This window comes from Homo sapiens, chromosome 5 (assembly GCF_000001405.40).
Source record: "Homo sapiens chromosome 5, GRCh38.p14 Primary Assembly".
Lineage (NCBI taxonomy): Eukaryota > Metazoa > Chordata > Mammalia > Primates > Hominidae > Homo > Homo sapiens.
The window spans coordinates 157,835,383-157,862,179 of record NC_000005.10 but is presented as its reverse complement, the minus strand read 5'-3'; the positions used below and the strand labels follow the sequence as shown (position 1 = coordinate 157,862,179).

The 26,797-nt window shown below is 41.0% G+C and overlaps 1 protein-coding gene across 6 annotated transcripts in view, besides 3 other annotated features; it reads left to right on the top strand.

Moving 5' to 3' along the window:
* Nucleotides 2,747-2,986: an enhancer, noted in NCBI's record as "active region_23532". NCBI's record gives its function as "activates an Ori minimal core promoter by ATAC-STARR-seq in GM12878 lymphoblastoid cells {active_cell/tissue: GM12878}" and the evidence as "EXISTENCE:reporter gene assay evidence [ECO:0000049][PMID:35858748]".
* Nucleotides 2,747-3,405: a biological region, named in NCBI's record as "H3K27ac hESC enhancer GRCh37_chr5:157285783-157286364".
* Nucleotides 2,824-3,405: an enhancer, noted in NCBI's record as "H3K27ac hESC enhancer chr5:157285783-157286364 (GRCh37/hg19 assembly coordinates)". NCBI's record gives its function as "activates a minimal SCP1, AML or CMV promoter by ChIP-STARR-seq in primed H9 embryonic stem cells {active_cell/tissue: H9 hESC(primed)}" and the evidence as "EXISTENCE:reporter gene assay evidence [ECO:0000049][PMID:30033119]".
* The window catches only part of CLINT1 (clathrin interactor 1), a 73,399-nt gene continuing 49,636 nt past the window's right edge, over nt 3,035-26,797 (top strand). For 5 of the 6 annotated variants that reach the window (NM_014666.4, NM_001195555.2, XM_017010087.2 and 2 more), the window contains exon 1: nt 3,035-3,250. In NM_014666.4, the coding sequence (NP_055481.1) occupies nt 3,210-3,250 (41 nt within the window). In that variant the 5' untranslated portion in view covers nt 3,035-3,209. The remainder of the gene's footprint in view (nt 3,251-26,797) is intronic. The other variant, NM_001195556.2, reaches the window with a different exon arrangement.

Here is a 26,797-nt window from a genome sequence, read left to right as displayed (position 1 = left end):
ATATATATTTTTTTTGAGATGAGTTTCGTATGCGATCTCAGCTCACTGCAACCTCCACCTCCCGGGTTCAAGCGATTCTCCTGCCTCAGCCCCCCGAGTAACTGGGATTACAGGCATGCGCCACCACGCCCAGCTAATTTTGTATTTTTAGTAGAGACAGGGTTTCTTCATATTGGTCAGGCTGGTCTCGAACTCCCGACCTCCGGTGATCCACCCACCTTGGCCTCTCAAAGTGCTGGGATTACAGGCGTGAGCCACCACATCCGGCCTTTTTTTTTTTTTTTTCCTTCAAAACGTGTGTTGGTTTGGCCTTACTAAAAGTGTCAGCTCATTTAGTAAAAAATATATGTTTTCCTGAAGAAGAGTGGGTGGAGCATTTTCTCATTTATTTTTCTACCATGAACATATTTGAATTGCCACAAAGAAGTTACTATGGAAACTGCTCTCGAACTTGCAAGATAAAAGGTAAAAATGGAACACTTTGTTGAAATGCAAATAGTCTCTGGAGATCACTTTTTAACAAAGTCTCCGGGTCTGATTTTTCTGAGTCCTTTAAAGGCTCTCTTGAATTAGAAGCGGACAGGCAGATTTTTTGGCTTTACATTCCAGATGGCTCCAGCTGACTGTGCAAATGTCACAGGTGACAACTCTAGGATGGGTCTAGACGTATGCAAACTTGGTTTTGGAATGAGCAAAGAGGCTGACAGTGCCCTGCTGTGAACACCCAAACAGGCCCAGGGGAGGGAAGGTGGTTGTTTCTGGGCCAGGCCCGTTCTGCAGGTGTACTCTGGACTCACTTGTTTGAAAGTTAACTTGCTGAGCTCTTATTTATGCAAAGTAGTTTCTCTTTCTTATCTCCTCTGGCCACATTCCATCTCTGGGATCTTGAGCTGGATAGTCTTTTCAACAAAAAAACACAAACTTCTTATTTGAAAGCCCTATTCCTCTACCCATCTCTGCTCATCTTTACCTGCCTCTCCCCACCCACCTCTCCAACTCACTTCATATCAGCCCAAGTACTCCTACCATTACAAAGCTCTGAGATAACTTTGGATTTCTGCTTGTTGTAATTTTCTGCCTGTCAATTCCTTCAACCTTGCTTCTTTCTCTTGGGGCCTCAATCCGAAAGCCTTACTGAAACTTTTTTCAAAGCTGCTTTCGGTAATTAAGTGAATGCAACTTGGAGAGGGTTTCCTGTAGTCTCAGCTACTTGAGAGACTGAGGTGGGAGGATTGCTTGAGCCCAGGAGTTTCAGATCAGCTGGGGCAACAGAGTGAGACCTCCAGCTCAAAAAAAAAAAAAAAGAAAAAGAAAAAGAAAATAGAAAAGAGGTGGTTTCACTTGAGGGACCAGGGTCCGAGGTTGTTTATTTGGGATTATTGTTACCTAGCTTCATGACTAGCAACCATCAATTTCACTTCTTTGTGAATTGGAGTCTTTATTTGATCCTTTCGAGGGATCCTTCCATTTCAACCTCCTAAGTAGCTGGCCTCACAAGAGTGTGCCCCAACGCCTGGCTTTTTTTTTTTTTTTTTTTTTTTTTTTAAAGACTGGGCTGGCAGGGGGATCTCACTTTGCTGCCCAGGCTGGTCTCAAACTCCTGGGCTCAAGTGATCCTCCTGCCTTGGCCTCCCAGCCTCCCAAAATGCTGGGATAACAGGCGTGAGCCACTGTGCCTGGCCTGTAATGAACTATTGTAGAACCTAAGATTGGCCTTTTAAGACGTCTTTTCAGGCTTTTGCATTTCTGACAAACGGATGACCCCACCCAGACCAGCCACTCCTCTGCTGGCCCTCCATCAAGAAGCCGATTCAGCAAAGGAGAACCATTTTCCATACTCCTCTGATTGCATCCCTAACCAATCAGCAGCACCCATGCCCTAACCCTCTGCTCACCAAACTATCTTTGAAAAACTCTAGCTTCCAAATGTTCAGGAAGATTGATTTGAGTAATAACTCTGTCTCTCAAGTGGCATGGCCAGCCTCATGTCAAACTCTTCACTGCAATGACTTGGTCGCAGTGAATTGACTTTATCTGTAAAGTGGGCAGAAAGAACCCGCTAAGCAATTACACTATATGCAATTATCTTAAATGTTTCCTTGATTATTATATGTTTCTTCCAATTACGTTTGAATTCCAAGAGAGCTGGGTCTTTAACTATATTCCCCACTTCTGGAACATACAAGATGCTCAATAAATATTTGTAGAATGAAAAGAACTGTAAAATTTCAGCAGATGGATCAAATGAAACTTAAGGTTGCTTGTAGCTTTAACATGAGCATTGATAAAAATGAGTAAGTAGAGAAGGAAGTGATGACAACCATTGCAACAAAGCAATGGAAGCAATGTGCATATTTATCCTTAAAAAACACAAACCTGTCATATGTATGTGTATGTGTGCGTGTATATATAATGTTGGCTTTTTAGTTTCCCGTGGAGTGTGAACTGAGTTTCTGAGGTTTATAGTAAAGCATTTAACAAGGATTTCAGGTAGTTGTCTAAATATAAAACATTGTATCATAGAATTAGAGCGGAAAAGGATTTAGAATACAAGTTCTTCAATTTTACAGGGGTGGAAACTAAGGCCTAGAGATCTAAGTGTACTTGGGCATTGGGAAATAAATACAGCGATGTGTCTGTCGATGAGGAATGCGTATGCCAATCATACTTCTGTATAATCATTACTAATAACATAGTAATACTGCCTTACATTTGAAAAGTGTTTGAGTGTGACTAGACCCTGCACCAGTGGTTCTGAAACTTGAGCGTGATCAGAATCACCTAGAGGATTTGTAAAAGCACAGATCGCTGGGCCCCACCTCCAAAATTTCTGGCTCGGTAGGTCTGGGGCCGGGGACTGGGAAAGCTTAAGAGAAACCATCCCAACTCCTCTCAGCTCTCCCAACTCAACCTCTCAGCTCTCCCAACTCAACCGGCCGAGCTCGGCACTCAGGGAAAACTACAAGTCCCGGCGTGCCCCGCGCGCAGCGGCGGAAAGTCGGACACTTCCGCTCCACGCAGCGCCTGTGCTGCCGCGTCTCGACGTGTCACCGGCGGCGCCGCTGCTGTGGCAAAGGAAGGAGCTGACTGGGGGAGTTCGAGGCGGCGGGCGGCGGTGACCCCGGCCTGGAACTGCCCCGGTACGGAAGTGTTCCGGGGTCCGTGGGGAGCAGGAGAGGGAGGCGGCGGACCGTCCCGCGCGGGGCACGATGTTGAACATGTGGAAGGTGCGCGAGCTGGTGGACAAAGCGTGAGTATCGGGGGGCAGTTGTGGCCGAGGCCCACGTGGGGGAGGGGGGAGGGGGAGAAGGAGCTGGCCTTGGGCTAGGGGTTGCCCACGTCACGCCCCCTGGCTCTGCCAGCCCCATCATGGCGGCGGCCCGCTCCTTCCCGGCCCCGGGCCTCATCCCCGCTGGCGAGGCTGGGGAGGGACCCTCCCTCGTTTTAAAAAAAAACATCCTCTTGGCCACCCTTCTCTCCTTTCCAGGCCTTCCCGTCCCTTCCCCTATTCCAACCCCTGGGTGCCGACGCTTTGGTCATAAGGGGCGGGTTGTTTGGCGCTGGGTCACTGCCCTGGCCGGAGGACTGTCTTGGCCCCAGGCCGTGGGCTTTGCCTCCTGGGGAGCAGGGAAGGTTTGGGGGTGGGGGGCACAATGCACTGGTTCCCTGTGTCCCTCAAGGTGTAGTACGGAGAGACCTTAGACCTGGTTGGGGTGTGTCTTTTATCTTCCTTGCCTCCTCTTAATTCCTAATGAACCTGAAGTGTTGGAGTGGGTGGTAGTAGTGTAACAAGTGGCTATTGTGGTCAGCCTGAAGTTACTCAAGAAGACACTCATCCTTTGCTTTTCTAACACTAGTGAAAGTAGATCACTATATGACTTCTTGCGATTTTTTCTTCTGTTTCTTTTTCCACTACACATCATTTTTGGTGTGCTACTTGTTCCATTCGATTAAATTAAGAGGTCATTAAGAAATGTCCTCTTAAGGAAAAAAACAACCCAGGTTTATATCCTGTTGATCTGCTTTTAAAAGCAGGTAAAACGACCAGTACGTAGTTGATTTCCTTTAAGACTGAAATAACTTTAGTCTCTTACTTGCACAAGGAAAACCTTAACTTTTAAAATGAGTATATCAGGTATAACAGTGGTTAAGTAAGGTCTTCTAGGCCAGCAGGAAATAAAGTTTAAGAATTTAAGCAGTCCTCTTCCTTTGGGGCTTTAATGATTATGCAATAAGTGTGGTGAGAAAAACAGTTGATTTGTGCCACCCACCTAACCTAAAATCAGGAAGTATAGATAGCAAACTGTTTTCTTGACACCAGGAAACAAAGTAATTTCCAGTGCCTTGTCTGATACATCAGATAGAACTTAGAGCTTGACCATATTTTTATATTTTCTGTGCTACCAAGAAGGCAATAGAGTGCCTAAGGAGCACAGGTTTCAGAACCTGCAAAGCTGGGTTCAAGCTTTATAACCTTGGGGAAGTTACTTATCCTCACAGTGCCCTAGTTTTCTCTGGTACAAAATGAAAATGCAACGATACCTACCTTAGAATGTTGTTGTGAGGCTTAAGGGTTAAGGGATTGTATTGCATATAAAGCCCTTAACAGAATATGTTTATATTAGTGTACTTTTGAAACTAGCAAATGTTTTGCATTTAGAGTGAAATAAACCTCTTTAAGAAAGAAGCTTCAAGTTTGAAAAGTGATTTGCTTTAATAATTTTCCTTTATAACAACTCATTTGGCTATTAAGGCTTCAGCTATTTATTTCGGACTATTTAGCTATTTATATATTCTTTGCTTTTGCTTACCGAAGATGAAATAAACTAGATCTTTTCCAGATCTAGGTTCATTGGCATTTTTTTAGTATATTGTGTAAAGATTAGGATATCAACTTAAATAGTTTTTTAAAGGCCAAAAGAAGACTAAAAGCTACCTTTTTTTTTTTTTTTTTTGATGGGGTCTCATTCTTTTGTGTGTTCATAACTCACTGCACCCTCCAACTCCTGGGCTCAAGTGATCCTCCCACCTCAGCCTCCCAAGTGGCCAGGACTACAGGCATGCATCACCGTGCCTGGCACTGCCTCCTTATTTCTCAGTCAGAGGTCAGAAGAATAAAACCATTAAGAAACACCTTGTTCTCTTAGAGGACCAAATTTGTGGTACTCAAAAATTTGAAGAGGCTGTACATTGTTCGTAAGACAGAAATCGAGGCAATATTCCTACTATTGTTGTACCTTTCATATTTGCTTATCACACTTGTTACTAATCTTCACGTGCTTTAGGTTAAATTTGCCATGTAAGTAGTTATCTAAAGGAAAAGCTATTGTTGAAAAATATTATCTATCTTTTTACTACCCAATTTAGGATGTAGACTTGAACCAAATTATTCAAGAACATAGAAGAATGTTGTCACCAAAGACTTTTTAAGGCTTTTGTGGGTGTCTGACACATATTAAGATTAGAACATGAGGTTGATTTACTGATGAGTACTCGGGATTTTAATTTTCATCTTTTCACTGGCAAGAAGAGAAGAAATTCTTCCCCCCAAATGTAAGCATCTTACAGAACCGTGGATCTGTTAGACTGTGCACCTTATAATGCCATAATAGACGTGCATCCATAGAATGGTTGGTCTGATTATCAGAGGTATAAAATGATGAAGGAACTTGCAAATGAAGAAGCAGTGACGTGATTAAGGGCTATTCAGATAGATGGATCAATAGAATGAGGGCTTCTATGAGAGAAAGGTTAGGGGTTTAACTATCTGGTTCATATTCTGGCATTACGTTTTTAATTAGCTGTATGTATGATTTGAGGCAGAATCACATGAATCTCCAGACTTTGCCTTCCTTATCTGTAAAATGAGGGGACCTGGCTAGAGTAAGACTTTTTCCACCTTTGATGGCTATTGGAGAAATGCATTTCCATCAAGGAAAAATAGTTGGAACTAGTTTTTACAATAGCAGACAAATTTTGGAGCCATTATCCTCTGTAGACAATTTAGGCTGAAAAGGGAAATTTTCTTAAAAAGTGGTAATCAATAAATGTTATACTTAAATATTTTATGCAATAAATAAGACCATGACTCAGGAAGACTAGGACTTTTAGTGTATATTGATACCCAGTGAGGTTTTACTTCAGAAAAAGAAATGTACTCTGAAAAATGTGTTTCCTGGAGCCACTCTTAGATTCAGTATGGTAGCGGCTCTTAAGTGTAATGATGTATTTCTTTTTTTTTTTTGAGATGGGGTTTCGCTCTTGTTCCCGGGGCTGAAGTGCAGTGGCGAGATCTCAGCTCACTGCAGCTTACACTTCTGGGGTTCAAGCGAGTCTCCTGCCTCAGCCTCCCTAGTAGCTGGAATTACAGGTGCCTGCCACCACACCCAGCTAATCTGTGTATTTTTAGTAGACACGGGGTTTCGCCATGTTGGCCAGGCTGGTCTTGAACTCCTGACCTCAGGTGATCCACCCATCTCAGCTACTCAAAGTGATAATGATGTATTTCAAACACTGGCTTTTGAGACCTTGAAGACTTTTTCTGGAAGTGGGGGTATATTTTCCACAATCGCTGCACCTCCTGGTGGCAGTAGAGGGATTTGTTTTGCAGAACATTGTGGAACTGAGGGAAGCAGATAAAGCCATAGGCCTGCCAGAGCTTGGAATGCCAGTATCTTCCCACTCGTCAAGTTGCATAAAAGGCGATGTGGCAGGAAAGGATAAGTGGCACCATTCCCACCAACTAGGAGCACTAGCTTAATCATTGTCATCCTATGACCTATCTTTACTTGTGGCTGTAATAAAATTGGACATGTTTATATTTTGTCATCCTATACATGGTAAAATTGAAAGTTGCTGCAGTTCTATTTTCTCTCTAGATTTGAGGAATGTAATGAAGGTGACATGGTAGTGGTAGATCAAAACTGCTACTTATTTGTTCAAGCTCAGCGAATCCTTCTCTTTCCTTGCAAGGAGTAATATTAGTGGTAAATCTCTTTCATCAGTGACCCGCCCCCCCCCCCGCCTTTTTTTTTTTTCGGAGACAGTTCACTTTATCCCCCAGGCTGAAGTGCAATGGCGTGATTTCAGCCCACTGCAATCTCTACCTCCCGGGTTCAAATGATTCTCCTGCCTCAGCCTCCCGAGTAGCTGGGATTACAGGCGTCTACCTCCATGCCTGGCTAATTTTTGTATTTTTCATACAGCTGAGGTTTTGCTGTGTTGGCCAGGCTGGTCTCAAACTTGTGACCTCAGGTGATCCACCCACCTCGGCCTCCCAAAGTGCTGGGATTACAGGCATGAGCCACCTTGCCCAGCCTCAGTGGCCCTTTTTTTGATAGTGATTCAAACAGCTCTGGCTAAGGTCCTAAGGCAACAGCTATGGGTAGTCCATTTTAAGTTATTCTCCTAAGCATAGCTTGCATTTTCCCTCATAAGTTGATTTTTATTGATGTATATTTGCTTGGTTTTAGTTCCTAAATGTTTAGATAATGTAATAGAGCTGTAGAAACTGCTGTTCTAGTCTCCTGACTCCAGAGGGAGAAACTTTTGCTTTTATAAAGAATAGTATATTCATTTATTTTAACAGGCAATACATTTGTTATTTATTGGATTAGTAGTCTGGTTTCTTTTTATTTTTTATTTTTGAGACAGGGTCACACTCAGTTGTCCAGGCTGGAGCACAGTGATGCAAACATGCACACTGCAGCTGGGACCACAGCTGCGCCTCCATGCGTGGCTAATTTTAAAAAATTTTTTTGTGGAGAAGGGTTCTTGCTATGTTGCCCAGGCTAGTCTTGAACTCCTGGGCTCAGGCAGTCTGCCTGCCTCAGCATCCTGAAGCGCAGGGATTACAGGCGGGAGCCATTGCGCCTGGTCTAGTACTCTATTTTCTGAACTCGAAACATACAATACCTGCCTTCAAGAACCTTGCCACTACAAATATGCTACAACTTGAATGGATTATTTTTCTTTTCTTTTCTTTCAGTCTTCAGATATCATCCCCTTTATTTTCTTTATCTTACCAGTAAATCTCTGTTCAGTTTGCTTCTTGGAATTTGAAAGCAGAGATAGTAAGATAGTTGTCAGCTTTCTAGTCTTCCCATGTCAACTTTTCTTTGAACCGATTATAAGTAATTGTTATTGCTGAAACAATGAATTAATTATTCTCCTCCTTTTCTAGTAACTGGACACAAGTAGATATTAGGAATTTAATTCCAAAGAAAGATGAGTTTGGTTTATCTCTGCTAGCATTTCTTAGGGGTAATTTTCTGTAGTTTAATCTATTTAGTACTACTGTCAGGGTGCTTTTAAAAAGCACTTAACTGCCTCTTATGTTTTCTTGCACACTTTAGTATTAGTTTACAAGCAGTTTTTCTTTTTTTTTTTTTTTTTTTTTTTTTGAGATGGTGTCTCGCTCTCGTTGCCCAGGCTGGAGTGCAATGGTGCGATATTGGCTCACTGCAACCTCTGCCTCCTGGGTTCAAGCAATTCTCTTGCTTCAGCCTCCTGAGTAGCTGGGATTACAGGCACGTGCCACCATGCCCGGCTAATTTTTGTAATTTTAGTAGAGACGAGATTTCGTCATGTTGGCCAGGCTGGTCTTGAACTCTTGACCTCAGGTGATCCACCTGCCTCAGACTCCCAAAGTGCTGGGATTACAGGCGTGAGCCTCCGTGCCCGGCCTACAAAGCAGTTTTTCATCTGTTTACTGATATGTCCATTGAAAGTACTTAGCCTTTTTTATTTTGAGTGCCATTTGCTAGTAATCCAAGGTTTCACAATATGGCTCTACAGTTGAGTCTTTTTCTGGACTTTTTTTTTTTTCTTTCTTTCTTGAGATGGAGTCTTGCTCTGTCTCCCAGGCTGGAGTGCCATGGTGTGATCTCAACTCACTGCGACTGGCCTCTGCCTCCCAGGTTCCAGCGAGTCTCCTGCCTTAGCCACCCAAGTAGCTGGGATTACAGGCATGTGCCACCATGCCCAGCTAATTTTTGTAGAGACGGGGTTTCATCACTTTGGCCAGGCTGGTCTCGAACTCCTGACTTCATGTGATCTGCCTGCCTTAGCCTCCCAAAGGGCTGGGATTACAGGCATGAGCCATTGCCTCTGGCCTTTTGTATGCTTATATTATTTTCCTACTTGTTTCCAATGTTTGTTTTAATGAAGATCACTTCACAGATTCAAAGTACATTTTTAGTACTTTTGAAGGTTCTTATATACAGTTAACTTTTTAGTCTCAGCTACCTTTGGTGACAACATATTTTACTGTTTACTCTTCTGTGTTTTTCAGGTTAACGCTTCATGTGAGCTTTCCTTGTTTAGCTTAATTATGTGTGTTTGTCCATCTATGTATTTTTATAATAATTTGCTAGCCAAATATACTTTGCCACTATACTTAGGTGCCTCCAGATGGTGTTTAATAAATGTGGGAATAGCTAGTGGTTCAGAGGTGAGAACTGGATTGAAATCTTAGGTCTGCTACTAGAAACGGTGATCTTATGTGTTAGAATGGTATCTTTATTTCTCTGTAAAATAGAGATGATATTTTATAGGATTATGAGGATTAAATGTGAAACAGTATAGTACTTGACATACAGTAAACTCTTGAAACATCTATTACTGTTATTACTGTTACACACAAAACAGTATAACACTAGAAAAATCAAAGGAATACAGTGTTTGTGAAAATAGAGATATCATTGTCAGACTAGGTTATTTGTAAGTATGTAGGAACTATATCTTCATCCATGAAATCATTATTTTCAGTGAGTACTCTCTCTTAAGACTCAGTTTAGCCTACATATAGGACAGCTAATTTAAATACCTCTGTTGTTTATGCCTTGTATTATTTTTGCTAAATCATAAATGGCTTCTACTTTAATATTGCAAAGCATATTGCAGAAATACCCTTTCAAAAGACATGTTGAGGAATAAAGTCTTTGGAAAGACATATCGCGAATTCCATCTGCCAATTCTTAATATTTTGTTCAGCTTGTTTTGTGTATTCTCAAGATTTTAAAGTAACTGCTAATGTAAAACATTACTAAAACATAAAAAGATTTATTTCATAAATGCAAATTGAAGCAGACAATTTATTCTTAAGAGACTGAACAATATCAAGAAAAAGAATCCTCTAAAATATGTGATACCAAATTCATGGTGTTTGACAATGGACAAACAGTATATACAAGGAAAGCACATTGGAGAAAGGGCTTTCTGGTTATTCAACCCCTCAAATTGGCAAGAAATTATTTGGCTTACCAGGGCTCTTTTGCCTGAAAATTAAATACAGGTAAAGGAACGTAATATATTCCTATGTTTGAGCCAATTTATAGCTACTTATTACTTGTGGATAGATTTAGCTAACGAATTATTAAATGTGAGTGATTTTGTTAATGTGCAACAGTGCACATGAATGGTTTGTACTTCATTTAAGAAGAGTCTAGTTAGCCAATTTTAGAATATTTCATTTCTTTTTTTTTTTTTTTTTTGAGACGGGGTCTTGCTCTGTCACTCAGGCTGGAGTGTAATGGTGCCATCTCTGCTTCAGCCTCCTAGGTTTAAGCGATCCTCCCAAGTAGCTTAAGCGATCCTCCCAAGTAGCTGGGACGACAGACACATGTCACAACACCCAGCTAATTTTTGTATTTTGGTAGAAATGGAGTTTTGCCGCATTTCCCAGGCTGGTCTCGAACTCCTGAGCTCAAGCAATCTACCCACCGTGGCCTCCCAAAATGCTGGAATTGCAGGTGTGAGCCACTGTGCCTGGCCTAGAATATTTGTTTTGACATGAATTTTATTTAGCTTCTCAATTCTTAGGACAGTATTTAAGTTCTAGATAACTTTAATATAAATAATCTTTTATAATTTTGCACACACTCATCATTATGTGGTAAACGTACATGCGTGCTTTTTCAACAACTATTGAATGAAATGTTTCATTCAAGAATTCTCATTCAAATAGCTTATATTTTTATAGTAGAAAAAAGGCATGCATTGAAAATTCAATTTTCGGGTTTTTTGTTTGTTTGTTTGTTTGCCATTTGTTTTCATGCATTTTTAGTAAATCATTAAAGAACAGTGCAAGGCCAGGTGCCGTGGCTCACAACTGTAATCCCAACACTTTGGGAGGCCGAGAAGGGAAGATCTCTTGAGCCCAGTAGTCCAAGACTAGCCTGGGCAACACAGACCTTGTCTCTACAAAAAAATTAAAAAATTAGCCGGACATGGTGATGCATGCCTATAGTCCCAGCTACATGGGAGGCTGAAATGGGAGGATCACTTGAACCCAGGAGTTGAAAGCTGCAGTGAGCTGTGATTGTGCCACTGCACTCTAGCCTGGGCAACAGAGTGAAACTTTGTCTCTAAAAAAATTTTTTTTAATATTAAAAAAAAGAACAATGCTAATAGGCATACTGAGCCTTTTTCTATTAATTTTTCTCATACTAATTTTTCATTTATCACTTTTTAAAGTGACTTAGGTTATACGGTTGAAACTACATGTCTTAATTTGTAGTTAAACCCCCATGGTTAAATAATTTTTTTTTTTTTTTTTTTTTTTTTTTGAGACAGGGTCTCACTTGTACCCAGGCTGGAGCGCAGTGGCATGCACGATCTTGACTCACTGCAGCCTTGACCTCCTGGGCTCAATCCATCCTCCCACCTTAGTCCCCCAAGTAAGAGGGACTACAGGTGCTTACCACCATGCCCGGCTAATTTTTTGTAGAGATAGGGTTTCATCATGCTCCCCAGGCTGGGCTCAAACTCTTGAGCTCAGGCAATCCGCCCGCCTCAAGCCTCCCAAAGTGCTAGGATTATAGGCGTGAGCCACTGTGCCCAGCCAGTAATATCCTTAGTTTGATGTATTTGGCTTATAAGTTCGGTACTGAATGGGGCTTTGAAGGATGGCCTGTTTCTCACTAAGCATGTAAAATGTTTAGCCCTGTCATCTGCTGTCCACTCAGCAGCGAGAGGGATTCTTTAAAAATACTAAGTCAAATGGGTTCAGAATTCTCCAGTGGCTTCTCATCTCATTGCTTAATTGCCTGTACAGATCTGGCTCTTTGTTGCCCCGCCTGTGATCTCTTCTCCCACCACTGTCCCTCACTTTCTCTGTTCTGTTCAGTGGACCTCCTGTATTACATAGTATGCACTCACACTCGTCACTATTTTTTTCTGTGCTTGCCTTCCTCTGTTACATGTATTCATCTCCTGCCTCTGATATGCAAGTTCCTTGAGGGCAGGAACTTTGTTTTGTTTACTGCTGTATTACTAACTCTTAGAACAATTATGACACATAGTAGGCGCTCAAATATTTTTGAATGAATACATTAAATTTGGTAAGTTGATATTTATTACAGAGGATATCCTTTAAATCCAGATATTTCTAATAATAAAAGCTAATAGTTATTGAGCATTTGCCATGTGCCAAGAACAAAGGTGACAACATTGTTATGTTCAATTTTCTTATGAGGAAATTGGGCACAGAATGCCAAGAGTGTGCCACAGATAGCACATCTAGAAGATAGTCTAGATTTAAATCTAGATGATATACTTTCAGAATATGTATTTAGCAGTTTATGCTAATCTTTTACAAGACATCATGTAAACAAAAAAATTGTTATACAGGCATACCTCAGAGATATTACAGGTTTAGTTCCAAACCACTGCAATAAAGTGAATATTGGAATAAAGCAAGTCATACAAATTTTTAGTTTCCCAGTTCATATAAAAGTTATGTTTCCACTATGTGGTAGTCTATTAAATGCACAATGGTATTATGTTTAAAAAAGTACATACCTTAATTTAAAAATATCTTATTGCTAAAAAGTACAGCCATCTGAGCTTTCAGCAGGTATTTATCATTCTGCTGGTGGAAAATCTTGCCTCCATGTTGATGGCTGCTGACTTATCAGGGTTGTGGGATTGCTGAAGTTTGGGGTGGCTGTGGCAATTTCTTAAAATAACAATGAAGTTTTCTGCATCATAGATTCTTCCTTTCACAGATGATTTCTCTGTAGCATGCAATGCTGCTCGATAGCATTTTACCTAAAGTAGAACTTCTTTTATAATTGGAGTCAGGCTGGGCGTGGTGGCTCATGCTTGTAAACCCAGCACTTTGGGAGGCCAAAGTGGGCAAATCACTTGAGGTCAGGAGTTCAAGACCAACCTGGCCAGCATGGCAAAATCCTGTCTCTACTAAAAATACAAAAATTCGGCCAGGCACAATAGCTTACACCTGTAATCCCAGCACTTTGGGAGGCTGAGGTGGGTAGATCACTTGAAGTTAGGAGTTCGAGACCAACCTGGCCAACGTGGTGAAACCCCGTCTCTACTAAAAATACAAAAATTAGCTGGGCGTGGTGGCGGGCGCCTGTGATCCCTGCTACTCAGGAGTGTGAGGCAGGAGAATCACTTGAACCCCAGAGGCAGAGGTTGCGGTGAGCCAAGATTGCATCACTGCACTCCAGCCTGGACAACAGAACGAGACTGCATCTCAAAAACACAATTAGCCGGCATTCTGGCGCACCCCTGTAGTCCCAGCTACTTGGGAGGTTGAGGCACGAGAATCACTTGAACCCGGGAGGCAGAGGTTGCAGTGAGCGGAAATAGCGCCACTGTACTCCAGCCTGGGGGACAGAGTGAGACTCCACCTCAAAAAAAAAAAAATTGGATTCAGTCCTCTAAAACTCTGCTACTGCTTTATCAGCTAAGTTGCCCACTCCAGCCTGGGCAACAGAGCGAGACTGCGTCTCAATAAAAAAAAAAATAATAATTCTTAGGTCGGGTGCAGTGGCTCACGCCTGTAATCCCAGAGCTTTGTGAGGGAGAGGCGGGTGGATTGCTTGAGCCTAGGAGTTCAAGACCAGTCTGGCCAATGTGGTGAAACCCCATCTCTACTAAAGATACAAAAATTAGCCAGGGGTAGTGGCGGGCCCCTGTAGTCCCAGCTACTTGGGAGGCTGAGGCAGAATTGCTTGAATCTGGAAAGTGGAGGTTTCAGTGAGCCAAGATAGTGCCACTCCAGCCTGGGCGACAGAGCGAGACTCCATCTCAAAAAAAAATTTTTTTTGGCCAGGTGCAGTGGCTCACACCTGTATCCCAGTACTTTGGGAGTTCAAGGCACGTGGATCACTTGAGCCCAGGAGTTGAAGACCAACCTGAGCAATATGGTGAAACCTCATCTCTGCTAAAAATACAAAAATTAGTCAGGTGTGGTGGCAAGTAGTCTCAGCTACTCAAGAGGCTGAGGTAGGAGGATTACTTGAGCTCAGGAGGTCAAGGCTGCAGTGAACAGTGATGGTGCCACTGTACTCCGGCCTGGGCAATGGAGGGAGACATCGTCTCAAGAAAAACAAGAAAAATCTTTGTTGTCATTTTAACCATGTTCTTCACTGGCAGTAGAGTCCATCTCAAGAAACCACTTATTTTGCTCATCTAGAAGAAGCAACTCATCATTCAAGCTTTATCATGAGATTACAGCAATTCAGTCACATCTTCAGGCTCCGCTCCTAATTCTAGTTTTCTTGCTGTTCTCACCACATCTGCAGTGACGTCCGTCACTGAAGTCTTGAACCCCTCAAAGTGATCCATGAGGTTTGGAATCAACTTCCAGACTCCTGTAAATGTTGATATTTTTACCATGAATCACAATTTTTTTTTTTTTTGAGACGGAGTCTTGCTCTGTCGCCCAGGCTGGAGTGTAGTGGCACGATCTCGGCTCACTGCAAGCTCTGCCTCCTGGGTTCACGCCATTCTCCTGCCTCAGCCTCCCAAGTAGCTGGGACTACAGGCGCCCACCACCACGCCTGGCTAATTTTTAATTTTTAAGTTTTCTGTAGAGATGAGGTTTCGCTATGTTGCTGAGGCTAGCCTTGAACTCCTGAGTTTAAGCAGTCCTCCTGCCTTGGCCTCCCAAAGTGCTAGGATTACAGGTGTGAGCTGTGCCCAGCCACTAATATTCTTAATGGCAAAACTAGTATGGTGAATTCTTTCCAGAAGGTTTTCAATTTACTTTTCCCAGATCCATCAGAGGAATCACTAGCTAGGCAGTTACAGCCTTATGGAATGTATTTTCTTAAATAATAAGACTTGAAAGTCTAAATGACTTCTTGATCCATGGGCTACAAAACGAACATTGTGTTAGCAGACATGAAAACACTCATCTCTTTGTACGTCTCCATCAGAGCTCCTTGGTGACTCCTTGTCCATGTGAAATAATATTTTGAAAAGAATCTTTTCTTCTGAGCAGTAGATCTCAACAGTGGGCTTAAAATAATCAGTAAACTATGCTGTAAACAGATGCGCCATCATTTAGGCTTTGTTGTTCTATTTCTATAGCACAAGCAGAGTAGATTTAGCATAATTCTTAAGGGCCCCAGGATTTTCATAATGTGCAGTGAGCACTGGCTCACAGCTGCGTTAGCCCATGAGAAGAGATTCAGCCTGTCCTTTGAGGCTTTGAAGCCAGGCACTGACCTCTCTAGCTATGAAAGTCCTAGATGGCATCTTCCACTGGAAGGCCGTTTCATCTCCATTGAAAATCTGTTTAGTGTAACCACTTTCATTAGATGATCTTAGCTAGACCTTCTGGATAATTTGCCATAGCTTCTACATCAGCACTTACTGTTTCACCTTAAATTTTTCTCTTATGGAGGCGGCTTCTTTTCTTAAACCTCATAAACTTCTGCTAGCTTCAGCTTCTCTTTTGCAGCTTCCTCACCTCTCTCAGCCTTCATAGAACTGTATAGAGTTAGGGCCTTGCTCTGGATTAGGCTTTGGCTTAAGGGAATGTTGTGGCTAGTTTGATATTCTATTCAAACCACTCAAACTTTCTCCATATCAGCAGTGAAGCTCTGTTTCACTTATCATTGTTGTGTTCACTAGACTAGCACTTTAAATTTCCTTCAAGAACATTTCCTTTGCATTCACAACCTAACTTTTTGGCACAAGAGGCATAGCTTTTAGCCTGTCTCAGCTTTCAACATACCTTCCTAAGCTTAATCATTTCTAGCTTTTGATTGAAAGTAGGAGATGTGCAGCTCTTCCTTTCACTTGAACACTTAGAGGTCATTGTAGGGTTATTAATTGACCTAATGTCAATATTGTGTCTAAGGGAATAGAGATGCCAGAGGAGAGGGAGAGCGGCAGGAATGGGCAGTCAGTGGAGCAGTCAGGACACATTCAACTTACTATCAATTAGCAGCGTGGTTCATGCTATCCCCAAACAATTACAATAGTAACATCAAAGATCACTGATCACAGACTGCTATAACAGAAAGAATAATGAAAAAGTTGGAAATATTGTAAGAATTACTAAAATGCGGCCGGGCATGGTGGCTTACGCCTGTAATCCCAGCACTTTGGGAGGTGGAGGCAGGCGGATCACGAGGTCAGGAGATCGAGACCATCCTGGCTAACACGGTGAAACCCCGTCTCTACTAAAAATACAAAAAAAAATTAGCCGGGCGTGGTGGCAGGCACCTGTGGTCCCAGCTACTTGGGAGGCTGAGGCAGGAGAATGGCGTGAACCCGGGAGGCGGAGCTTGCAGTGAGCCAAGATCGCGCCACTGCACTCCAGCCTGGGCGACAGAGCAAGACTCCGTCTCAAAAAAAAAAAAAAAATACTAAAATGCTTAATGCAAGGTTGCCATAAACCTTAAATAGGTGTGAAGCACAGTAAAGCAAAGCACAGTAAAATTAGGTGTGTCCATATTTCGCTACCAGAAAGGTGAATTAGTAGTATATACCTCACACAAATTAAAAAATTACTTGGGAAAAATTTATAGTACTTAATTTTTATTTTATTTTATTTTATTATTATTATTTTGAGATGGAGGCTTACTCTGCCGCCCAGGCTGGAGTGCAGTGGCATGATCTCGGCTCACTGCAACCTCCACCTCCCAGGTTCAAGTGATTCTCCTGCCTCAGCCTCCCAAGTAGCTGGGATTACAAGCGTGTGCCACCACGCCAGGCTATTTTTTGTATTTTTAATAGAGACAGAGTTTCACCATGTTGGCTAGGCTGGTCTTGAACTCCTGACTTCAAGTGATTCGCCTGCCTTGGCCTCCCAAAGTGCTGGGATTACAGGCGTGAGCCACTGCACCCAGGCTACAGTACTTAAGATTCTGAACCAAATTCAGTTGCAGTGTGTTCTGTTTTCCACATATGCACCTATCATAGAAGGAATTTTTTCTGACCTCTTGCAATATTCTGAATAATGACTGTGAGGTCGGTGACCCTTAATGAGAGGGAAGCAAATAGATGTTTCCATAGGTGAAAAAGAAAATCTTCACTGTTGTTATGAAGGTGTTCTCTGTAAGCAATTGTAAAAAATATTTTTACATTTGTTGAGCTGTATTATGTGCTTCAGAATCAGTGGTCCTCTGTGACCAACTTTTAAAAGTTCTATAATCCTGTGATCTTTATGTTTTGGTCAGTTCGACATGCCTCAGTGTGTGCTATGTCATATGAATAGGATTTATGCACAACTTTTTCCAATTTTTCTTATGTTCAGTGTGGATAATTTGGAATAATGTTCTTTAATCGCTTATGTACCATCTAAGTACTATATTTCTGGCATAGGATGTAAACATCTAGACGTTATACAGTAACTCAAAATACATTATTGATATCCTTACTAATCTTGGCTGACCTTGTAAGGGTCCTTCACTGAGTGCTTATTAAATAGTAACCACAAGCCCTGTAGAGTACTATAAGACATGTGACAGATCTTAGGGTTCCAGTAGGCAGCTTACGGTTCTGTAAGGCATATGCATATGAAAACTGCATGAAAAATAGAAAATGACACAAGATGATATATCAGTGAGTACTTTCTTAGAAGCTAGTTCTGTCATAAACGAAAGAAGGTCCATATTATACCCTAATCAAATAGTGCAGATTAAATAATTTGAGATATAAATGTTTCTTTTTTGAGAACTTGAGGGGAAAATACATTATAAAGGTCTTCAAAATTTCAGTAGACAGGTTCTAGAAACAGTTTTCCTTCATGTCAGAAAAGTCAAGTCTAGTTTTTGAGATTGGATAATACATCTAAGTTTAATTACTGGTGAAAAATGAAAAAAACTATAGCCTACTTAATTTAAACAGAATATCAAGTATTTGAGTTCACAAAGAGATGGTATCACTCTTACCACTGTTGAGATATAGGATTTTTCATTTTATCATTCTGTTAAGGTTTTTTACAGTTATATACTTTTGATTAGCATCTGATATTTGGCAATACATATGAATTTAATCAAGCAGAAGAAAATCTATAGATGATACACTCAGACTGTACAATATCAAGCCCATGTCTGCAAAGACGTAATTTTCACATATTGTGCCAGTGCAGGATGTCTCATATTGTCATTTTCTTAGAAGGCTTTTATGCCTTTTTTTAAGGCTAACTGATTTTACTACTTTTTTTAGATGTTGTCCTGAGGAACAAGATAATACATTTCATAAAATTGCCTTAATAGAGTGTTTTAAATGGAGCACCACCTATTTAAAAAGATAACTGGTTGTGAGTGTGCCACAGTTGATCAAATTTCTTGGAGTATTAGTTTTAAATGAAGAGTGAGAAGGGTAAGTATAGGAGGGACGTGAGTCAAGATACTTCCTCTACTTCTGCTGTATAAAATGAGGATAAGGTCTACCTTCCAGGTCTGTTAAGAGAATTAAATAAGCTAATATGTGTTAAGTTACAGTAAAAGGAACAACCACTATTGTGTAAGTTATGCAAACTTTATTCTTATTCTTTTGGGACACCCACTACCAACAATATTCCAAAGCCATGTTGGTATGTCAAGCAGTCTTAAGATGCTTGTTGTTTGTAAATTATTTACCATTGTGTTGTCAGTAAATTATTGTTCTTTACTTTTGTTTTATTTCTTTAGTTTTGTCATTGTGAGGCATTTTCTGAAGTTGTTAAAAAGTTTAAAATTTAGATGAACAAAGGCCATTTTTAGGTTCCAATTAATAGGAATTAAGTTGGGAAATAAATTTTTATAAAATTTAAACCCCTTTAACAGTAAAATTTTTACTCTAAAAATTTTTTTAGTGGCTATCTTATCATACCTGTGAAAACTAGAATTGGGATCTAAAATACAAATAAAACCCTTGGGCTCTACTCATTTTTGAGTACCTTGGATATTTGATCTTCTTGTGAAACCAGTCTAACATATGATACCTCTGGCAAGAAAAACACCTCACCGTCCTTACTTTTATAAAACAAAATCGATTAACTTTAAAGAGCAAATAAGCTGTGCAAGTGGCCTTAAGCAACTGCCAGCAATAGGAAAGAATATTTCATGGTTAAACTTACACGCAAAACGATGTGAGTCTGAAGTTGCTGTAAGTACAGAATAGGAGTGTTTTGCTTGTTAAATAGAAATAATATTTCTATACTTTGTTTCTGTAAATGAACCCTAGGAGCTTAAACTTTTAAAATTTATTGAAAATTGGATTTGAGGAACTTGTACTGGAATAGATAATGTGTACCACAAGATATGCAGTTGGATTTGTAATGGCTGATATTTGCAAAGCAACTTTCAAATAAATATTTTATGGTAAATATTCAACAAAGTTTTTCTAATAAGTGGGATGGATATTCTAGTGATTTAGAGTCATAAATAGTCTGTTACCATCATATCCAAATATAACATTTTGCTAGTGTTTATTAACTTCTGTCATTAACTAGAACAATTATAAGACCTTTTTAAAGTGTCCTGGAGTCTCGCTGTATCACCCTGGCTAGAGTGCAGTGGCGGATCTCGGCTTACTGCAAGCTCCGCCTCCCGGATTCATGCCATTCTCCTGCCTCAGCCCCTGGAGGGTATTTTTGTGTATTATTGAGTAAAATGACTTTTAAGATTTTTTACTTATAAGTACTTAAGACTGCTTGACATACCAACATGGCTTTGGGATATTGTTGGTAGTGGGTGTCCCAAAAGAATAAGAATAAAATTTGCATAACTTACACAATAGTGATTGTTCCTTTTACTGTAACTTAACTATAAAATAAGATTTTAATTATCAACATTCGGTAAAAGTATGTGTTTTAACTCTAGTAAAATTTCCTTTACATTAAAACTTACATCTATATCTAAAAGCTTATAATGTTCATGCTGCATTTTAACTCTTCAGTGAGTTAGTGGAAGAATGACTGCACTTGAGAGCTACTTATTGGCTAGTTCAGCTCTGAAATAAATGTTCTTCAAATTGTAAAATCAAGAAAATGACAGCTCGGCTGGACGTGCTGGCTCATCGCTGTAATCCTAGCACTTTTGGAGGCTGAGGAGGGAGGATTTGTTGAGCCCAGAAGTTTGAAACTAGCCAGGGCCACATAATAAGACCCTGTCTCTACAAAAAATATAAAATTAGCGAGGCTCACAGATTATGTGATGATGCACGCCTATAGTCCCAGCTACTCAGGAGGCTGAGGCAGGAGAATTGCTTGAGCTCCGCAGATGGAGGCTTCAATGAGCCCTGGTTGTGCCACTGCACTCCACCTGGACAACAGAACAAGACACACACAAAAAACCCGAAAAAAAATGATGGCTCAGAATGAAAAGGAAATACCAACCAATCCTTTTCTTTTTTCTTTTTTTTTGAGATTGAGTCTCACTCTGTCACCCAGGCTGCAATGCAGTGGTACATCTTGGCTCACTGCAACCTCTGCCTCCCCAGGTTCAAGCGATTCTTCTGCCTCAGCCTCCCGAGTGGCTGGGACTACAGGTGTGCACTGCCATGCCCAGCTAATTTTTGTGTTTTCAGTAGAGATGGGGTTTCACCATGTTGGCCAGGCTGGTCTCGAACTCCTGACCTCAGGTGGTCTGCCCACCTCGGCCTCCCAAAGTGCTGGGATTATAGGTGTGAGCCACCGTGCCTGACCTTTTTCTTTTCTTTTTTAAACACGGGCTCTTGCTCTGTCACCCAGGCTGGATTACAGTGACACCATCATGGCTCACTGCTGCCTCAACCTCCCGGCATCAAGTAGTCCTCCCACTCTAGACTCCCGTGTAGCTGGAACTACAGGCATATGCCACCATGCTGGCTAATTAGTTTTTGTATTTTTTTATAGAGACGTGGTTTTGCCATGCTGCCCAGGCTGGTCTTGAACTCCTGAGCTCAAGCAATCTGCCTGCCTTGGCCTTCCAAAGTGCTGGGATTGCATGTGTGAACCACTGCACCTGACTACAACCAATCCTTTTCATGAAGTTTGACTTTGTTCCAAGTGTATGTTACTTATTGAGGCATATTAAAAAGAAAAAAATATATACACTTTTCTCTTTTTTAAAGAGATGGGGTCTCGCTGTGTTGCTCAGGCTGTTCTCGAACTCCGAACTCCTGGGCTCAAGCAATCCACTTATCTCAGCCTTCCAAAGTGCTAGGATTACAAGCGTGAGCCACCATGCCAGCCAAAAATATATTTTTTTATTGAGATAAACGACACATAAAATTAACAATGAGTAGTAAAGAGAATACATGTATACTTTTTATCCACATTCATCCATTTTTAAGATTTTGCCATCTTTGCTTGTCATTCGCCCTCCCCCACCCCCATCTTTTTCTGTTTACGCAAACGCACACACATACACACACACACTTACTTCCCTCATCCATTTGAAAGTAGATTATATACATCATGCCCCCTTTGCTTCAATGCTTCAGTGTGCATTTCCTGAGAATAAGGATGATTCTTTTAGATAGCCACAGTGTAGTTAAAAAATATTCCGAAAATTTGACATTGAAACAAGTTTTACCTCTTCCATATTCCAGTTTTGTCAGTTGTCCCATTCCAGGATTTCATTTAATTAATTGTCATGATTCTCTAGTCTCTTTTAATGAAGAGTTTCTTAACCTTTCTTTGTCTTTCACGACAGGCATTTTGGAAACTACAAGTCAGTTTTTTGTTTTTTTTTTTTAAATAGACTATTCCTCAGTTCTTCTTCTCTTTTTTCCTTTTTTTTTTTTTTTTTTTTTGAGGCAGTCTCACGCTGTTGCCCAGGTTGGAGTGCAGTGGCACAATCTCTGCTTACTGCAACCTCTGCCTTGTGGGTTCAAGCTATTCTCCTGCCTTAACCTCCTGAGTAGCTGGGACTATAGGCCCATCATGCCCAGCTAATTTTTTTTGTATTTTTAGTAGCAACAGCCTGGTCTCGAACTGCTGAGCTCAGGCAGTCTGCCCACCTTGGCCTCCCAAAGTGCTAGGAGTGAGCCATGGTGCCCGACCTCCTCTTTTTTCTTTTGAGCACCCTTAGCTTCTGGTACAAAGATGTTTTAGGCTTATCCTGAAACTTTGACTGCTTCAGCCCTGGAATCAGCCATTTCTCTGAGGACTCCTGGTTTTGGTTCCACTTAGTGGTAAAGCATATTTTTAAAATAGAGATTATACAGTTGATTATATGTATAGATAGATAGATAGATAGATAGATAGATAGATAGATAGATAGATTTTTGTTGTAATTAGGAGATTTCTAGAACTTCTTGATATGCAGGATCACCTGTAGTCCAGAGTTGGCACATGGGACAAAGTTCTGTTTTTTTTTGTTTGTTTTTTTTTTTTATTTTATTTAAGACTGAGTCTCGCTCTGTCACCCGGGCTGGAGTGCAGTGCACAATCTCGGCTCACTGCAACCTCCACCTCCCAGGTTCAAGCCATTCTGCCTCAGCCTCTCAAGTAGCTGGGATTACAGGTGCCTGCCTGCTACCACACCCAGCTGATTTTTGTATTTTTAGTAGAGATGCGGTTTCACCATGTTGGCCAAGTTGGTCCTGAACCCCTGGCTTCAAGTGATCCACTGACCTTGGCCTCCCAAAGTGCTGGGATTGCAGGCGTAAGCCGCCGCACCTGGCCTGGGACAAAGTTCTTTGGAAGTGTGGTGATGATACTTTTCTTTTGAGTAAAGCTTAAGGTTTTATTTTCTTTTTTTGATTGTTTTGTTTTGAGGCAGGGTCTCCCTTTGTCACCAAGGCTGGAGTGCAGTGGCACGATCATGGCCCACTATAGCCTTGACCTCCTGGGCTCAGGTGATCCTCCCACCTCAGCCTCCCTAGTACCTGGGACTACAGGCATACACCACCACATCTGGCCAATTTTTGTACTTTTTGTAGAGATGGGGTTTTGCCATGTTGCCCAGGAAAATCTCAAACTCCTGGGCTCAAGCAATCCGCCCACCTCCCAAAGTGCTGGGATTATAGGCATGAGCCAGCACACCTGGTCTGTTTCATATTATTAAATATAAAGAGAATAAGATTTGTGAAGAGCACTATATTTCTGTTCTATTTTCACTACTTCTAGCAATGCTATTTGTTTTTTTAAAATGAGTTAAGTGTGAACAGACAAAAAGCATATGCCACACAAGTGTATGTATTGTAGATAATGGTTGTGATTATGGCAATAACATGCTCCCATAGAATATATTCTTCCTAACAATATTTCTTGTTACAGCCTTTCACCTGTAATTCATAGTTCTGTTATATTGCAACTGCTTTTGGTTTTTGAATTGTTTATACCAGCAACTGATTACTGAGTAATTTAAGAGTCTCAATTATGGCAGCACTATTCTAATTAAATGCTGGCACTTTATTTTGCAAATAGAAGTGTAAACTATCCACGTTTGCAAAATTTGTAGAAAAAAGTATTGAGAATTTATAGATAAAATTAAGATGTACGTATTAAGCATGTACTTAGGCTGGCTTTACTCACAGAGTAAATATATAATTCATTTGAAATATGAAATCCTTGACTTAGGCTGGATGCTGTGGCTCACGCCTGTAATCCCAGCATTTTGGGAGGCCGAGGCAGGTGGATCACTTGAGGTCAGGAGTTTGAGACCAGCCTGGCCAACGTGGCAAAACCCAGACTTTACTAAAAATACAAAAATTAGCTGGGCGTGGTGGCAGGTGCCTGCAATCCCAGCTATTTGGGAGACTGAGGCAAGAGAATTACTTGAACCTGGGAAGCAGAGGTTGCAGTGAGCCGAGATCGTGCCACTGCACTCCAGCCCCTGGGCAACAGAGCAAGACTCCATCTCAAAAAAAAAAAAAAAACAAAAAAACCTTGACTTAAATTGGATTAAATTGGCCATTTGTTAAAAGTGGCATTTTTCCAGCAATTAAGAAAAAATGTATATAAAGCTGAAAAATTACGTAATTTTAAGTAGGACAAATGTTAAGTTCTTAATTTGAACATTAAGAGTAAAAGATCTTGGCTGGGCACGGTGGCTTGTGCGATGGCTGGGATTACAGGGTGCCTATAATCCCAGTACTTTGGGAGGCCAAGGCTGGTGGATCACGAGGTCAAGAGATTGAGACCATCCTGGCCAACATGGTGAAACCCCGTCTCTACTAAAAACACAAAAGTTAGCAGGGCATGGTGGCACGTGCCTGTAGTCCCAGCTACTCGGGAGGCTGAGGCAGGAGAATCGCTTGAACCTGGGAGGTGGAGGTTGCAGTGAGCCAAGATCACGCCACTGTGCTCCAGCCTGGGGACAGAGTGAGACTCCGTCTCAAAAAAAAAAAAAGTAAAAGAGCTTGAGAAATTTGCTGGCAAGACAACACTGATTTTGAATTTAATGTAAGTAGTATCTTTGTAGCCTTCTTCAGATATTATAAGGAGTAATTTGAAAATAACAACACATAATTGACATTTCTTTTAGACCGATTGCATTTCTCAAGTATGAGTTTTTAGAATACATGATGATAAACATCTTTTAGTTAATGAGTTACAGTATGTGTGTGTGTGTGTGTGTGTGTGTGTGTATTTACATATATTCCATCCTTCCTTTCCTGCCTTCTTTGGACAGGGTCTCACTCTGCCATCCACGCTGTAGTGCAGTGGCACAATCTAGCCCACTGCGGCCTTGACCTCAACCTCCCATGTAGCTGAGACCACAGGTGTGGGCCACCATGCCTGGGTAATTTTTTTATACTTTGTAGAGGCAGGGTCTCTCCATGTTGCCCAGCATGGTCTTAAACTCCCGGGCTCAAGCAGTCCTCCTGCCTCAGCCTCCCAAAGTGCTGGGATTACAGCTTCCAGTATATTCTTAATGCTTACATAATCGCTGATAAAGAAGACTCAAATTATAGGTATGCATCTCATGTCAGATACTTATATCCCAAGGGGAATAAAGTGTTATAACCAGAAGTAACAGGAAGCCACAGGATAACCTGGCTTTTTAATATAATGAGTATTTATTGATCATTTGCAACTCTTGTAGGTACTTGAAAATATACCTGTAAACAAGTTTTGGTAGAGGTAAATAAAAAGAGCAAGTAAACAAAATAATTATACATTCTGTGTTACGAAGAAAAGAGGCTGCAGTTAAGAATGATGAGTGGGATTATTTTAGATAGAGTGGCCAGAGGAGGCCTTTCTGAGGATGTGGCACCTACTTTAAGACTGAAAAGTAGAGTGAAGAAAGTGAAAGAAAGTGTTCCAGGAGAGGATATTTTAGAATAAGCAAGGTCCTGGATAAAGAAAGAGCTGGTGAGAAAGTGGCAGTGCAGTGTGGCAAGAACATGGAAGAAGAGGAGTAGCTTCAGAGGTTTGTAAGCCACTGTGTGGAGTTTGGGTTTATTCTAAGGGTCATAAGCAGCTGATGAGGAATTTTGATAAGGGAGCAAAATGACACCGCTTAATGACACCACTATGCTCAGGGCCATGTAACTTACTCTTGGTGCTGAGTTGGATAGTGGATTGGAAGGGAGAACAAGAGTAGAAGGTGATAGTGGCTGAAATCATGATTATAAACAGCAATTAATAACATGGTCTCTGGACCTTCATCTATGGAATCAGACTGCCTGGGTTCATGTTTTGACAGTTAATGGTTGTGTGACCTCTAGTGAGATACTTAACCTCTTTGTGCCTCAGTTTTCTCATCTGTAAAATGGGGATAGTAATAGTAGCTGCCTCATAGAGTTGTTAGGAAGATTAAATGAATTGTCCGTGGCTTAGGACAATGCCTGGCCCATTAGAGTTATGTGTATTAAAAACCAATAACCAAACAAATATGGCTGTATTGTGGAAGAGAGTGTGAAGTATGAGAAAAAGCAGTCTTGGCTTTGTACAGTTCTTCTGTGGTAATAGATTGTGCAAAAAAAGGAGAGGGTTCCAGTATGTACAAGTTTCAATTAACAACCTGCCAGAAAAGTGAAAATTGTCTATATAAAAGAATTGGTACATCTATAGAAATGAAATTCGTGATGGCTCCCAAATCCATAGTTTACACTCAGCATGGGTAGGAGAAGTTTTCATGTTTTTGAAGTATGTTTTTTAACTTTAGATTTCATTTAGTTCTTCAAATCTTTCTATGGGACACAGAAATCTTGTGCCAAGTTATCTTAACTTTTTAAGTCTTGGCAAGGGGTCATTGAGTTAATTTCAGAGGATATAGTAAATTAATAAGTCTTTCTAGTCATGCCCCCAAAAGAGCTGGCTTTGTGTGTTTGTTGAGTAGAGGGTGTTTATTTTAGTTCCCTTGTTCATATCTTGGTCTCAGCTCCCCTTTCTTCCTTTCCACCTCTCCCTTCTCTGTTCCCAAGATATCATGGAGTTCACTTACATATTCATTTGTCAGTTTTTCACAAGCCATCTTATGTTAGACATTCGTTGTTAGGCACCGAGAGGGAAAGAAAACTGCATAAGATATAGTGTAGTCAGTTCTGGTTATATGAGGTAGCTATGTTTTATAAAGTCGCCTTAAGCAGAACCATTGCTCCTAGGGGAAAACACAGGGGTAGGTTCCTTTGAGCCTCTGGTGACATTTTCTTTAGCCAGTCAGTACGTCAC